The sequence below is a fragment of the Homo sapiens genome, chromosome 3 (assembly GCF_000001405.40).
Source record: "Homo sapiens chromosome 3, GRCh38.p14 Primary Assembly".
Lineage (NCBI taxonomy): Eukaryota > Metazoa > Chordata > Mammalia > Primates > Hominidae > Homo > Homo sapiens.
Window position 1 is genome coordinate 88,947,834 of NC_000003.12, and position 16,396 is coordinate 88,964,229.

The following is a 16,396-nucleotide window of genomic DNA, read 5'->3' on the forward strand; positions in this document are numbered from 1 at the left end:
TTACGAATAACCTAAAGAAGTGGTTTCTTCAGAGATGAAATTTATTCCTAGGGAAGATGCTATGAACATTATCAAAATTACAACAAAAATTACATAACCCGGGCCATGTCCTTTAAATATGGCTTTCCCAGGTGCACACAACAATGTGAGGAGTGGGGTGGAGCGTGTGTGGTGTGTGGATGCCACCTGGGCAAGAGCCATGGTGGACCATGAGTTGAGTAAATTCTGGAGGGATTCTGCCTCTATTGGAGCCTTTGCAGCCAGGCAGTTGTGAACTATGAGCTAGAGTGAAGCAGAAATCTAGGAAGACGAGCTGCAAGTTGGTCATAAGTGAACCAGGACTGAATTGGGATATTTTCCCCAAAAATGGCCTTAAGACATTTTTCTCTTGAGAAAATTATAAAGATTATCCCATGGCTCCAAGTTTAAAAGAACTATGTGTTTTATTGAACAGAGAGAGCAGAGGAGTTATGTGGACTTGTTGGTTAAATATACAAAGATTTCTGCAAATTCCAAAACTATCAGAATAAAGAAAAAATGACTTCTTGCAGTACTTGGATATGAAAAAAACATGTGAATGAAGAAGTTACTGAGTTCCTAAAGTTTTTGCAGAATTCTGCAAAGAAGTTTGCACAGGATTATAATATGCTTTCTGATGATGCTTGTCTCTTCACAGTGAAAATTTTGAGAGCTTGCATTGAACAAGTGAAAAAGTTCCTAGAATTCTATACTCTCCATGAGGTCACCAGCTTAATGGTATTCTTCCCATTCAGAGTAGAGATGGAATTAAAGTTAGAAAAATCTCTTCTTGCATTGGGCAGGGTAAAATGTGTGAAAACAGTATTTCCCTCAATGCTTATAAAGTTGCAGCTCTCAAAAGATGATATATCTGCCATTGAATTGCCAGAATGAACGGCTGAAGCTATGCATTATTATATTAGAAAAGATCCAAATGCAGAGAAACTTATTTCACGATATCACCCTCAGCTAGCTCTAACTAGTCAATCATTATTTACTTTATTAAATAATCATGGACCAATGTACAAGGAACCTTGGGAACTTTCGGTATTGATTCAAGTAATACCTGTTGCAGGTTCAAAACCAGTTAAAGTAATATATATTAATTCGCCACTTCCCCGAAATAAAATAACTATGAGAGAAAGAAAACAAATCTTTCATGAAGTTCCATTAAAATTTATGATGCCCCAAAACACATTTGTTCCAGTATCTGCAGTCTTTATGGACAAACCTGAAGAGTTTATATCTGAAATGGACATGTCCCATGAATTCAATGAGTGCCGAAAAATTGAGACTCTTGAAAACTTGTATCTGGATTTTGATGATGAGGTCACAGAACTTGAAACTTTTGGAGTAACCACCACCAAAGCATCAAAGTCACCAATTCCAGCAAGTACTTCCACAGTACCTAACATGACAGATGCTCCTACAGCCCCCAAAGCAGTAACAACACCTGTGGCACCAAGTGCACCAGACATTTCTGCTAATTCTAGAAGTTCATCTCAGATTCTGATTGAACAATGGCAAAAGGAGAAACAACTGGTCACTGGTATGGATGGTGGCCCTGAAGAGTGCAAAAATAAAGATGATCAGAGTTTGAATCATGTGGTGATAAGGTATCAAATTCTGACAAGTCTTTGATGCAAGATAGTGACTTGAAAACATCTGATGCCTTACAGTTAGAAAATTCTTAGGAAATTGAAACTTCTAATAAAAATGATATGACTATGGATATGGAACATGCTGATGGTGAAAGACCCAATGTTCTGGAAAACCTAGACAACTCAAAGGAAAAGACTGTTAGATCAGAAGCAGCTAAAACTGAAGATCCAGTTCTCTTCAGCAGTGATACAGATGAGGAGTGTTTAATCATTGATAGAGAGTGTAAAAATAATAGCAATGGAAAGACAGATGTTGTGGGTTCTAACTTAAGTTTTAGATCAGCTAGTCCAAATTCTTCCTCAGGACAGGCTTCTGTAGGAAAACAGACTACTACTGTTTGTAGGCCTGCAGAGTCGTGTGTTTTTTTTAAAAAACGTATCAAATGAGTATATAAAAAATATGATCCAGTTGGAGAAATTTTAAAAATGCAGGATGAGCTCTTAAAGCCAATTTCCAGAAAAGTACCCAAACTGTCCTTGATGAATTTAGGAAATTCTAAACAGTCTTCTGTTTCTGAGCAATTGTCTGTTCCTTCAGATGGCTCTAGTTGACCGAAATCTGGATGGCCTTCTGCATTTCAGAAGCCCAAAGGACAATTGCCATATGAACTTCAGGACTATGTTGAAGATACATCAGAATACCTAGCTTCTCAGGAAGGAAATTTTGTTTATAATTTATTTAGACTTCAAGATCTGTTGTTTCTCATGTGCTGCAGTGTCCAGAGGATAGAGACAAGACCACATTCTCAAAGAACAGAAGAAAATCAGAAGACAATTTCCAGTTGATGTACTACCAAAAGTAGAGTATCAAGCTTGTTATGGAGTTGAAGCTCTGATTGAAAGTGAATTTTGTCACTTAAGGACTGAAAGTTTATTACATTCCAACAGCTCATTTTATGTTGGGCATATTGATGCATTTACTTCAAAGCATTTTCTACTGGAAGAAACTACCTCAGAAGAATTAAACGCTTTCAGCACTCAAGATTTCCAATTTATTTAACATCCTCCAACACATTCTAAAGAAATTAAGTAGCTTGCAGGAGGGTTCCTACTTGTTATATTATGCAGCAGAAGATTCTTCACTCCTGAACTATAAGGTCTCTGATGGAAAAGTTACTAGGACAGCATACAATTTGTATAAAACCCATTGCGGCCTTCCTGGCATACCTTTCAGTCTCTCATTTCCCTGGGTTCCATTAGATCCCAGGCTTTTATTACCATATCATATCCATCATGGAAGAATACCTTGTACTTTTCCACCTAAATCACTGGATACCACAACAAAAGTTTGGTGGAACCAGAATGCCTATACACAGCCACAGGATTCCAGTTTCCATAGAAACCAAAAGCAGTTGCTTGCCTGCTCAGCAAGTTGAAACTGAAGGAGTGCTTCCAAATAAAAGAAAAATAACTTGAGGACTGTACCATGGGAAATTAAATTTAAAAAACAGTTATAACAATGTTTAGTTTAGAAAAGTTTGGTGGTTCACGCCTGTAATCCCAGCACTTTGGGAGGCTGAGGTGGGTGGCTACCTGAGGTCAGGAGTTTGAGACCAGCCTGGCCAACATGGTGAAACTCTATCCCTACTAAAAATGCAAAAATTAGCCGGGAGTGGTGACGCACGTCTGTAATCCCGGCTACTCGGGAGGCTGAGGCAGGAGAATCGGTTGAAACCAGGAGGCGGAGGTTGCAGTGAGCTGAGATTGCACCACTGCACTCCAGCCTGTGCGACAGAGCAGGACTTCGCCTCAAAAAAAAAAAAAAAAAAAAAAAGGAAAGAAAGAAAAGTTTGAGGGGAAATATGACAAAAAGATCAGTAGGCAAGAGGAACGTTTTTCCCGTAGTATCCTCAAGAGTTCTTAGAGTGTCTTGAAAAAATATGTTGGCTACATGAAGGAATGCTTCCACTGAAACATAATATTATACTTTTCACCCTTAAAGTTTGAGGAGGATCTTGATAAGTTTTAACATTATCATGGCAGGGAAATAGATAAAAAAGAAAACTATTTTTACATTAAACCTTTTCTAAAGATTTTAAATAGAAAAATAATTTGCTGCTTTTTTTAACAAGAACATTTACCATTATGTATTATGTTAGTTATATTGCCAGCCTGTTGAGACTGACTCAAAATGTTAAATATTGCCACTGTTGAAGATAATTACGAGCATTGCAAACCTTGTTTCTGACCCATTTTTACAGTTTTTATGTACTCCTCTAAAATGATGAATGTTACAAGTTAAAATTACATAACTTAGTTAAGAAAGCAGTGGAAGGGTTTCAGAAGATTGACTGCAATTTTGAAAGACGTTTTACTGTGGGTGAAATGCTATCAAACATCATTACATGCTACAGAGTAACCTTTCAAGAAAGGAAAAGTCAATTGATGAGGCAAACTTTACAGTTTTCTTTTAAGAAATCGCTACAGCCACCACGACCTTTAGCAACACCATCCTGATCTATAAGCAGCCATCAGCATTGAGGGAAGATCTTCCACTAGCTAAGACCTTCCACTATGACTTGCTGAAGGCTCAGGTGATCATTAGCATTTTTTTAGCAATAAAATATTTTTAAATTAAGATACATGCATTGTTTTTTATACCGTGTGCTTGAACACAGAACAGGCTACAATATTGCGTAAACATAACTTTCATATGTCCTGAGAAATGAAGAAAAATTGTGTGACTTGCTTTATTGCAATATTTATGTTTTTGAGGTGATCTGGAAGTGAACCCACAATATCTCCAAGGTATACCTGTGTTTATCACTATAAATATTCCATATGAAAGAAGGTATGAATACCTCAGTGTTTAATTCCTTGAAATTATAAAGGAAAACACTTTACCATGTATACATTATCATCCCTAGTTATATTTCTTTAAGTGATAAAGAGAAAAAAAACTAGAGAGGCAGCCATAGTGGGAAAATCAGGCCAGGGTTTGTCCAGGAGCACACAGGAATACCCCAAACTGGTAACAAAGTTGTCAATGAGATAGGCCAAAAAGTGGAGAACTAGATTCTAGAATATGTTTTGACAGAAGGATGTATGTAACATCAGAATAACTGTTAATGTTCTCTGGGCTTTTTTCGTTCTAATCTTCAGAGTAAAGGGTGTTGGATGGCATGGTAAAAAAAGTTCTTTGATTTGTTATTATATTGATATTATATCACCTTGCTTGGAGGTGTATCATAAGCAATATACCCTAAAGGATGTAAGTTGAATATGTATACTTCTTTTTTCTCTTTCTCTTTTTTTTTGTAATAAGACAGTGTTGTGAAATAATAATCAAGATGCTTTCCACTTTGTAACATTACTACCCCACCCTCATTTTTTTCTGAAAAGACCTAGCCAACACCCTAGAGCAGTTAATCAGTTATTATAGTTTCAGTGTGAGCTTTTTAAAACAGTGAAGAAATTGATAGACTGGTTCAAAGTATAACATTTGAAAGAATCCTTGCAGAGCAATTTTAAACTTTATTCGAGTATTTATATGTGTGTGCATGTAGGTATGAATGTGTGTATTTTTTATCACAGAAGGAATCTCAACATCCTGGGATGCCAAAGAAAGAGAAAGCAGAGAGTTAGATGGATATTGAGGGCCTCTTATCTATCAGCACTCCCTAGTCCATTAGCTATAGGCCCCTATACACATTTTTTGGGATCGAGTAATTAAGAGAACATGTATCCAACTTCCTTTGGAAGCCAGAAGAGCAGAGCAGACTGGTAAAAGTTTCCACCGCCTCCTAGAGAGACAATCAGTAAAGGAGTAATAGCTATGTTTGTAGCCAAGGTCAAAGAGGTCAATACAGACATTATAAATACCAATAAAAGATTAGGTGCCTGAGACACTGTGAATGTACCACAATTAGAGGCTTTAATTCATTTTTAGTAAGCAATTAGGAATCTCCTAACTTTTCTCAGGTATTATTTTATTATAGGCATCTCAAGCTGTCAACAGCAACCTGCCATCTTTCCCCGTCTAAGAAAATCCTAGCTATCATTTTCATCCTTTTATTTTTTTGCCAGAAGATTTTGTTTTTTATGTTAACTGTACAAGTAGAATAACAAAAAACCTTAGGCTAAAATTAATATTTTACCATGCTTATATTCATATCACAGAGGCCAAAGCCCTGTGAGACAATTTCCAGTAAGCAGTAATTCTGATTTCATTGTTCATAGCAAGTAGGGAAGGCATTATTCCATGAAATGTGATTAAATTTCATGTTGGGAAGAAAGTTTGAGTGTGAAACTATCTAGACTTTTTTGTGCTTAAGTAGAGGACAGAAATTTGAAAATGATAACACTGCGAAGTTATTCATTTCACACATTACCCTTAAAATAACTAATAAGATAATCTTAACCTTCATGTTTATTAAAAAATGTAGGTGAAAAGAAACTATTTCAAAGGAGATGTAAGAATATTTCTTAATTTAGGTTTATCTTCCAAGAAGTTATTTTAAATGTGTAAACATTAATTTTGATTTTGCATGCAAATTTCCTAACCCCATGTCTGGCACATAGTAGCCTCTCAATAAGTAGTTAGTTTTTTTGTTGGTTGGCAATATTACTATTAATATCACGTGGCAACTGAATGTAGTTTATAAGGCTGAATATATAAAACTATTCAACATATTTTAGTTGACTTTATTTGATAAAATAACGGTCATTAGGTGACATATTAAGTTCACAAATAAACACAGATTTTACTAATTTTGTAGGTACATAACATTGGAAACAAATAATCAAATATAAAATATAGACACTGGCTGGGAGCAGTGGCTCGTGCCTCTAATCCCAGCACTTTGGGAGGGCGAGGCGGGTGTATCCCTTAAGGTCAGGTGTTCAAGACCAGCCTGGCCAACATGACGAAACCCTTGTCGCTACTAAAAATACAAAAATAAGCCATGCGTGGTGGCCTATGCCTCTAATCCCAGCTACTCGGGAGGCTGAGGCATGAGAATTGCTTGAACCTGGGAGGCGGAGGTTGCAGTGAGCCGAGATCGCACCACTGCACTCCAGCCTGGGCGATGGAGTGAGATACTATCTCAAAAAACAAACAAACAAACAAATACATACATACATACATAAATACATAAAAAATAGACATTGTAAAATATACTGCTTTTATGGATTATCTCCCTGAAAACATTAAAATAACTGCTGTTGAGCCTGAAATGCTGAAGTGTATTGCAATAACGGTGAAAATGGCATCATGAAATAGTTTTATAAAATAAATAACCTATTCTTTGAAAAAAGTGCCCTTTAGAGATTGTAATGATCACCAAGTAAAAGCAAAATAAATGTTGAAATAAATTGATTATATTTCAGAAATCCTTCCCTTCCTTCAAAAAAAGTAACCTCTCTCCTAGATATTGATAAATGAGATTTTTGATGAAAAAATGAAACTCTGGGCCAGAAAATAGATTTGGGAAGCATCAGTCTTTTGCCCTTTCTCAAAATACAGACATAACTGAAGTGTCAAAAGTGGAACTGACAGTGATGGCCGAGCATCTGACAGCTCAAACACAGCTTGCTCATCAGTCTGATGCTGCCAAGCAGGAGATGGCACGATTCCACCATATAAATATGTCTGTTATATTGAGGTTAGGACTGGTTTTTGCCTTCGTGTGATTGGAGCTTATTATTATTATTATGAAGCATTGCTTACCACTTAGTCTACAACTTCAGGGCCAATATTCAAACCTTCATTTCCCCAGTCGCCCAGGATGTGCTTGCAATATTATCTCCCTTTGAATATACTTGATCAGAATGCAAAAAAAAAAAAAAAAATGGGCAAGAGGGCGTACATTCAGAAGCACTTTTGAGATCTGTCATATTTCCTCATTTGCAAGGCAGTATACTATGAAATCAAGTTTTGGATTCTAATTTTCTGGCTCCGTCAGATGATTTGAACTGGTGATGTCAGCACTTCATGATGCTGATGCCAAGCGTTGTTTATGCCTTCCTGTCCTCCAGGGACACGTAAATCCATCCTGCATCCACAAGCTGTCAGAGGAGAAGAAAGGCACTGGTCACTAATCTTGTCATGATCAACACCGCTCTCAGAACCCTGGTTTATGTCTTGCCTGGATTGGAATGAGCCGGTAATATAAATGTGTACCTTGTATATCCTTTCCGTCGTTGCCATCAGTTGATCTTCTTTTCTCTTGACATTCTTTTAAACCATGTTAGACAGGTGTTACATAAAGTTGAAAACATATCTCTACTAAAGAGTTTCATGCGTATGTGTTAAATGGCTATTGAACAATTTATTAGGGTTTTGCAGGAGCAGGCAGTCCCTCCGGGTTCCTTTTTTCCCCTCTGAATTCTATTTTAGTTAACAGGCTGAATATAAAGGAGAAGTCACTGCACAATGTGATATGAACAGCAATAAGACGGAAAGTTCCCTGCTTAAATGGCCCCATTAAATCCGCCATTGCCCCTTGATGGCCCATGATGGCTCATTTCTTTCAACAAAGAATACTACCAGTGTCGATGTCGTGTTCAGTAATCATGGACTGCTGTTCTCAGAAAAATATATATGTATATCTTTCCCAAATAGTGAATGTTGAGCTTCAACGCTTCAAATTATTTTCAGTCTTTCAATTCTCAGAATGAATAGACACAGAATTTTATTTTCTCTTGCTTAGCATTTTTTATTAATACACTTGGCTGTTCTTTTTGCCTTCAGCAAAAATATTCTGATGTATATGGAGATAAGAGTTCTTTGTTTACTCATAGCCCATGTGCATAAACAAACGTCCTTACTATGGGAAGCCTTTATTTGCTACAATACGAGGAGCAATTTTTTAAAAAGCAAATATTTTATAGTTATCACTTCAGCCTGGATTGGAGCCTGTGGCTCATTTTACAACCTGCACAAGTTTTTGGTACTTGTAAATTTGTTGTTGTAAAATTTGGTCTTTCCACCTTTGGCCTGATATCAAAAGCTTTATATTTTCACTTTCTGGAAAAAAAAACCTTGATATTTTGAAATTCTCTGACCTTTCATTTATGCGTATCCATAATAGAAAACATGGCTTAATAGAATGGGCTTCAAATAATTTTGAAGGCAAACCGATTTTAGCGCCAACCCTAACACTTCATATTTGTGTGCTTTCTGGCAAGATATTTAAACTCCACATCTTTCAATCGATTCAATAATAATAATAACAGCATCACTAACCTTGCAACGTTTTTGTAAGAAGCAAAGACATTATTTACAAAGTATCTAGAACATTTCCTTATATACAAACAAGGCTTAATATATAATAACTCTATATTTTATTTATGCAAATTACCAAGCTCTTTCACTTATAGTGGCACCCAGCTTATTAGTAAAAGAAACTAATGCAGGTAAAATGAACATCTAGAGCATTCATTAATTAAATAAAAGATACCCAGAGATCTGATTTTGCAGAAAAAAATAAAGTATATAAAAGCTGTGTAGACCTATTAATTGCTTTTGTTTTCATTAGAGATTTTATTGTGGGTTGATTAAAATGTGCGTGCACACGAGGTCTCTTCTGCACTGGCTGACAGCGTTTCCTCCTTCGTGCCCTTTATCTATAATACATTTGAGAGTCTAACAATAATCCCAACCCCGAAACAAGCCAGAGCTTCTGTTTGCATTTCTCTGTCTTAGGAACGGCTCTGTCAGGTTTCTTTCTGAATTCATTAATGCAGTTTCATCACTCAATAAAATATATGATCAATTCCAACACACATCCACTAGTTGATGACATAGCTCAGAAATATTTTTGTTTCCATGAAATATGAACAATAGTTTCAGTGGTACCTAGCTCAAAAATGTAACTTCCTTCAAGTTCCTCTTTGAAGTAGTTCCTCAGAACTACCTTGCAAGTGTCCACTTTGGTTAGCCAACAAAACAATTGTTTTGTATATGAAAAAACAAAAATTGTTTTTTGTATATATCCTTTTCTACTTTTCAACACTAGTTGCACTAATTCCTACCCAAGAGATCACATAGGAGGTCATTTCAAGAATAACATACACTTCTAATTCTTTTTGGTTTTATATAGTTCATGAGGCCTCACTCCAGATTCTCACTCGGATTGACCTTAGAGTTAAATGAATAATTTTGGAGACACTGTGTTTTTAGGAAATACTTTAAAGGATGAAAACGTTTAGACCTTGTGGCAAAGCAAACAGAAACTCTGTACTAGCTGTTTCTGGCTGGTCTCCATCTGGCTTCTTTGAGCCCCTCTTTACCTTCAGTTCTCTCCCTTATGGAAAGCTAGCCTAACCATGCACTGATTATACTTTCAGTAACAGAATTCTCTCTGAAGTGGTGTGAAAATGGAGATTTCTGGAGGGAGAGTTTCCATGGCTTATCTCAGATGTTGAAAAGAATCTCTGAGTCAAAAAACTTCCTCATGACAGTAATTCTATTGGCTCCCAAATATTCATATTTGTGGTTGCCAGCTCAAGGCTGTGTCATTTTGAGTCAGAAAAAAATAATAATAACCCACAATGTAACTCTCCAAAGAAAGTACTCAGTTGTCTGGCATATTTTTCCCCTGTTCCTCATTGATGCTTTCTTATTGACCTTTCTTTTTTGCTCCAATTTAGAATCTGTTAATCTTTTACCCCTGGGAGGTATGAATTTCCATATTCTGGTTGATTTATATGGATTTCCTGTAAACTGAAGACTGCAGGATGAAATTAATCACTGTGATGTCTATAGCAGTGGCCCAGGATAAGACTTAGAAAATACCTGATGTTTTCCATTCTTATTAGGAGTGAAATGAGGGCACACTATTTTCATGATGCTTCCTGTGCTGTAAAGATTATTTTGAGAACCTCACACTGATAAGATAAGAATAGGAACATGACATTTTGTACCTTTACCTGATGTTTTATGATGGTGATGAAAGAATATCCGAAGGTTTCATCTGACCCTTTCAAGAACTGTAGAGTGTTACAGGACTTCTGTGGGTAGTAATATGATTAGCATCCCAGAATGTAAGAAATTGCTGCATTAACTCAGTTTAGCTATTATGCCAGCATTCACTAAAAAAGGGAATAGTTCTGAAATTCTGAGTTACATTCACATGTTGGAAGGAGAGTTGTTAGTGTGTTTAATTTCATTCGCTTTCTTATGAGATTATTTTTCTTACTGTTCTTCTACATGTAGAAATATTCCATGTATATTCAGTTACCAAAAATGATGTAAATACCAATTACCTCCCTTTAGAAAGAATTAAATAGCATTCTGACAACCCCTAATATTAACAGTTATTAATTTTTAAAAAACTACCTTTCAAAGAAAATCCTGAGAGTCAAAGCTTAGGCCTTTTCTTTGTAGTTAAACTGCATTTTAGTTTTTTCTTTTCTCTCTCCTGTTTTATTTTAGTGTCCAGATTTCCATTTGTCATGGAAATTTAAAATTAAGCCTCTCCAATGTGCACATTTTAATTTAATATGAGGAAATGTAATTTATTATTTGGCACAGATTTATTGTTGTAAAAAGCTCCCACTGATGTCATGGTGAATTCTGTGCATGAAATGAGGGCAAACAAATGATTCATTTTTCATGAATATTGCCAATCAATGTTACATTCTCCTAAAACTGCAGTATAAGATTCTTTACCAAAATGCTCAACTGTATTTCAATATACTTCTTTTACTAAAGCCATGAGACAGAGAAAATTTTATGGAAAATAATAGTGTGGTTGGTATAACCACAAAAAGTGGTATGGGATAAAAAGTCAATTTCCAGGTCATTTTGAATGCAATAGATCCATGAATCCCTACATCCAAGCGGTAATAACCCCATAGGTAGGGTCAGCTTGTTACCTGTGATATATTTCAGTAGATACATTGCTGTCCTGTCTCTGTTGATTAGATATATGAAATAATTCTTATTTTCACATACAACTGCATCATAGCAATAAAGATTTCTCTTTATGAATCAACCCTTCTTTCATTCGACACATATTTATTACAGTTATTACATACCTTTGCTAGATATCTGAGACAATACAACAAACAATATTGACAATGTCACCAATATGTCAAGGAGCTTATATTCTAGTGGGGAGCACAGACGATAAACCAAGATAAATGGGATAATTACAAACTATAAATAATACTAATGTTATGAAGTTTTTCCTGTTTTTCTAATTGAAATCTAATTGCTTTCTAAAGCCTGATATATTATAAGGTGATTAGTGGAGAATAATTTTTTAAATCACTAATTAATGCCCTTATGTTTTATTTAACACACACACACATACACACACAGTTCTGTTTGTTTTAGTTTTCTCTGTGTCTTTTTCAGGTCAGGATTTCAATAAGAAAATGCTAAATGGATTTAGCTTACCATGCCACTGAGCTAAACAATTTGTGAAGTACTTATATACTCATTTTCGTTTCCTAGGGCTGACATAATAGATTACCACAAACTGAGAATCTCAAAACACCTGAGGTTTTTTCTCTCACAGTTCTGGGGTCCAAAATTAAGGGTGGCAGGGTTGGTTCCTTCTGTAGGCTCTGAGGGAGAAGCCAATCCTTGTCTCTCTCCCAGCTTCTGGTGCCCGTGGGCAATTGTTGGTGTCCCTTAGCTTGTAGATGAATTATTCCAATCTCTGTTTCCATCTTCACATGGCCTCCTCCTCTGTTTCTCTGTGTCTCAAATGTCCCTGTACTTATTCTTATAAAAGCAAAAGTTATTGGGCTTAGGGCCCATTGTAATTCGGGATGATCTCATCTGCAAATCCTTAAGTACATATGCAATGACCCTTATTCCAAATAAGATCAAATTCTGAGGTTCCTAGTGGAGATACCTTTTGGCGGAACAACATTTGCCCAAAACACTTGTAAATTACAATTTTATTCATTCCTGTGCATGTAAATAAGTATTATTTGTTAGATTAACAAGTTAGCTTCCCCATCATCATCTGAAAACATAAACTTACAGCCATGGAACGTGGGCAAGTTATTTCTCCGATATCTGTTGCATGTTCCTCATCTACAATATGATAGAGCTGCAAGGAGAAATAGTAGAATCTACCTTTATAGTTGGAGATGCCAACACCCTGCTACATGTAATGGACAGATCCAGCAAGCAGAAAATCAGTAAGGATGTAGTTGAACTACATAGCACCATCAATAAACTGGACTTAATTGACAGAAAATACTTCATATAACAACAGCAGAATGCACATTTTTTCTCCAGCTCATACAGAACATTAACCAAGATAAACTGTATTCTGAGCCATGTAACACAACTTAATAAATATAAAAGAACAGAAATCATTCAAAATATGTTTTCAGAACACAATGGAATTAAACTAGAAATCAATAACATAAATATACCTGGACATTTCCAAAATTTTTGTAGACTGAAAACACTCTTAAATAACACCTGGGTCAAATACATCTCAAGAAAAATTTAAAAATACCTTAAACTACATTAAAATAAAACAAAATGTCAAAATGTGTGGAATGTAATATTTACAGAATTTTGTTCTTTTTTCCGAGACGGAGTTTCACTCTTATCACCCAGACTGGAGTACAATGGCGCAATCTCAGCTCACTGTAAACTCCTCCTCCAGGGTTCAAGTGATTCTCCTGCCTCAGCCTCCCGAGTATCTTGGATTACAGGTGCCCGCCACCACGTCTGGCTATTTTTTGTATTTTTAGTAGAGACGGAGTTTCACCATGTTGGCCAGGCTGGTCTTGAACTCCTGACTTCAGGTGATCCGCCCACCTCGGCCTCCTGAAGTGCTGGGATTACAGGCATGAGCCACCCAGCCTGACCTACTTACAGGAAAATTTTTTAGCATTGACTCCATATATCCAAAAAGAACAAAAATCTAAAATCAACAATCTAATCTTTCACCTCAGAAAGTCAGATAAAAGAAGAAAATTAATTTGAAGTAAGCGAATTAAACAAATAATAACAATTAGGTGAGAAATCAACAAAATTATAAACAAAATGAATAGAAAAGGAAAATAATATGCAAAGTGTCTTTGGCAAACCAGATTTCAATGGTTTTATGAAACAAAGAACCTAGAAAAGATGAAAGAGATTTTTCAAATCCATAGGCACCTAAGGTTGAAAATTGCAGTAAATGTGAAGATCTAATGTTGATATAATATCACATGCTTTCAGAGGTAAACTAGAAAAGAATTTCTATGAGTACAAAAATGTTCAAAATTTAGTATTTAATGGTTTATTAAGACAACTTATCAATTTTAAATATTTGATTGATTCTATGTTAAAGTCCTTTATAAACAGTAAAGAAAGTATTTTTATCATGATCCTCAGATTAAAAACAGCTGCTATCTTAGACATGTGATCTTAAGAAAATCTACCTGTATATTTCTACGAAACTGATGTGTTGAATTTAAAGAAACTAGGTGGGAATAGTGTGTCTAGAAGAGCAGTCGTTTTGGGTTATAACAATTCCTTAACAGCTAAAGCTGAACAAATTTTTGGTTTTGCAACACTTGCCTAAAATGTATACTAGTACTGACAGAACTATTACCCTGATGCATAACATACTGGTAATTAGCATGATAAACCTGCTTTTTGAACAATGAGAATATCAAAGGTAATGAGAGAGAGATTATGATAATGTGAAATAAAAATTAGTGCATAGACACTATTACCTAGTGTTACTTTGCACGATGTGAGAAAACTCAGAGAAAAGCTCAAAGCACCAACAGTGATATGTCTCTGTAACCCAAGGCTTTTCAGTCTGCTCTCTCTAGCTCATAAATCAGTGCTTCTCCAAGAGTGTCATGAACCCTGCACCCTCCTTGTCAATGTTGATTTCTGCACCCATCTCCCAGGCTGGCTAAATCAGGACTTTTGGTGGGTAGGGCCATGGACTCTATGTTTTCTCATGTATCGTTGTTTGAAAATAACTAAATTAAACTAAATTAAAGCTGTTTAATGACATGAATCAGGTATTCATTTTAATAAATATCAGGGTCTCAAAAAGTACCGTATATGTAGACTGAATCTCTTAATTATTACTACACTAAAATAACAATAAGGTAAATTATAAGGTTATGATATTTAAATGATTTTATACTAGCAACTATAATTTTGTGCAAGTTTTAGGATTATTATGTAAATGTCACATTGTGGGTTTCTGAAACATTAGGAAATTATGAAGCTTATTAATAAGAATATACTGTAAGAACTTGACTGTTAAACATAAATAAATCTTAGTCTAATGCAAAAAAAATTAGTGCAAACAAAGTCTGCAATGGAGTAAGACACAGAGGTCAGGCAGAGTAGCAGTTAGTTATAGAACATCTATATAAAAACTGCCCAACATATATTTTAAGTGATTTTTAACCAATATTTCTGATATTTCCACCTAATGGCACAAATAAATGTCTCACCAGCTGTTGCAAGTCGGGGTCCCTTGGAAAACCATTCTGAGATGGAGTTTAGAGTGCAAGTGTTTTATTAAACCATTCTGAGATGGAGTTTAGAGTGCAAGCATTTTATTAGAGAGCTGTTGGGTTCAACTGCTTTGGTAATAAATAAAGCAGCTAGGCAGAGGGAGAAGTTGAGCTGTGATACAGTCTCAGTGGAGGCATCAGACAAACCAACTGCAGCCAGAATAACCATTTATATTTATCCCCAACTGGGGTGAGAGAGCCAGATATTTATAGCCCTGTAGTGATTACCAGATGCAGGCTGCCCCTAGAAGAAGGTATGACCTTGAGCAGTGTACCTGTCTGCAGCCAAGGCAAGCCCAGCATGGGGCTGGCAGGTGAGGACTAGCTATGCAGACAGTTCTTCTAGCAGCTACATTCTTGAAGGGACAGCTGGGAGAAGCCTACTGCTTGAACCACTTGGCACCACTTAATTTAAAAATTCAGGGAACAGTTAGCCCAGGAATCTAGTCAACCTCTCTTCTTAGGGAAATTTGGTTGAAGCGGATTAGTGAGAAAACCACGTACACTACTGCTATGACTGGTCTTAGAACCACAAACATTATTTTTATTTTTCTCCTCTATCATCCATTCTATATGCGCTTCCCTTCAACACTGACTAGCAGTTTTGCTGATCTTCCTGGCATGATGAATACCGTAATCTCTGAGAAATTTGAGCCCTTGTTCCTCATGTTCTTATCAAATTAAGGTTGTTGCATTTGTCCATTCACCAATATTGGGAAAGAGAATATCAAGAGAAACTAAATGTACTACCTGAATGCTAAATATGTTTCTTCTTGCCACCACTATGTGACAACAGACCCACTGGATATTCCTGATCAGATTTGATGAACTCTGCCAAAATGGTGACTTTCCTTCTTGTCTCCTTTTTCCCTCCAACCCTGTCCCTTGAACAAGAATCCTTAGATTCTCATCCCACGCATAATCATGGTGAGTAGGTCCTACAGCTCCTGTGAAGTATTCTCAATTTCCCTCCTTATTAGGCCCTGCTTGTCTTTAGCTGGGTTATATCATGACTTAACCCTAGAGACCAGTAGGAGAACTGGGGACAAATCTTGAGGTGCACGAAGGAAGCCTTTTCACCATCTTCAAAAGAAGGGTAGACTGTTAGCCTTAAATAAGAAGCAGTAAGCCACTTCACCCTCAAGGCTTAGGGGAATTTAGGGAATTCTAGGTCCAATAAATCTAGATGTCCCCATCGCATGTGTCAAGGTCACATTCTTTCCTAACTGGAGTCTTGGTCCTAGCATAGCAAACCTACTTATATTGAGAGT

The 16,396-nt window shown here is 36.2% G+C and overlaps 1 pseudogene, besides 1 other annotated feature; it reads left to right on the forward strand.

The window, feature by feature from the left end:
- Nucleotides 1-364: 364 nt before the first annotated feature.
- Nucleotides 365-3,160, forward strand: ICE2P2 (interactor of little elongation complex ELL subunit 2 pseudogene 2; annotated as a pseudogene).
- Nucleotides 7,858-8,359: an enhancer, noted in NCBI's record as "NANOG hESC enhancer chr3:89004841-89005342 (GRCh37/hg19 assembly coordinates)". NCBI's record gives its function as "activates a minimal SCP1, AML or CMV promoter by ChIP-STARR-seq in naive H9 embryonic stem cells {active_cell/tissue: H9 hESC(naive)}" and the evidence as "EXISTENCE:reporter gene assay evidence [ECO:0000049][PMID:30033119]".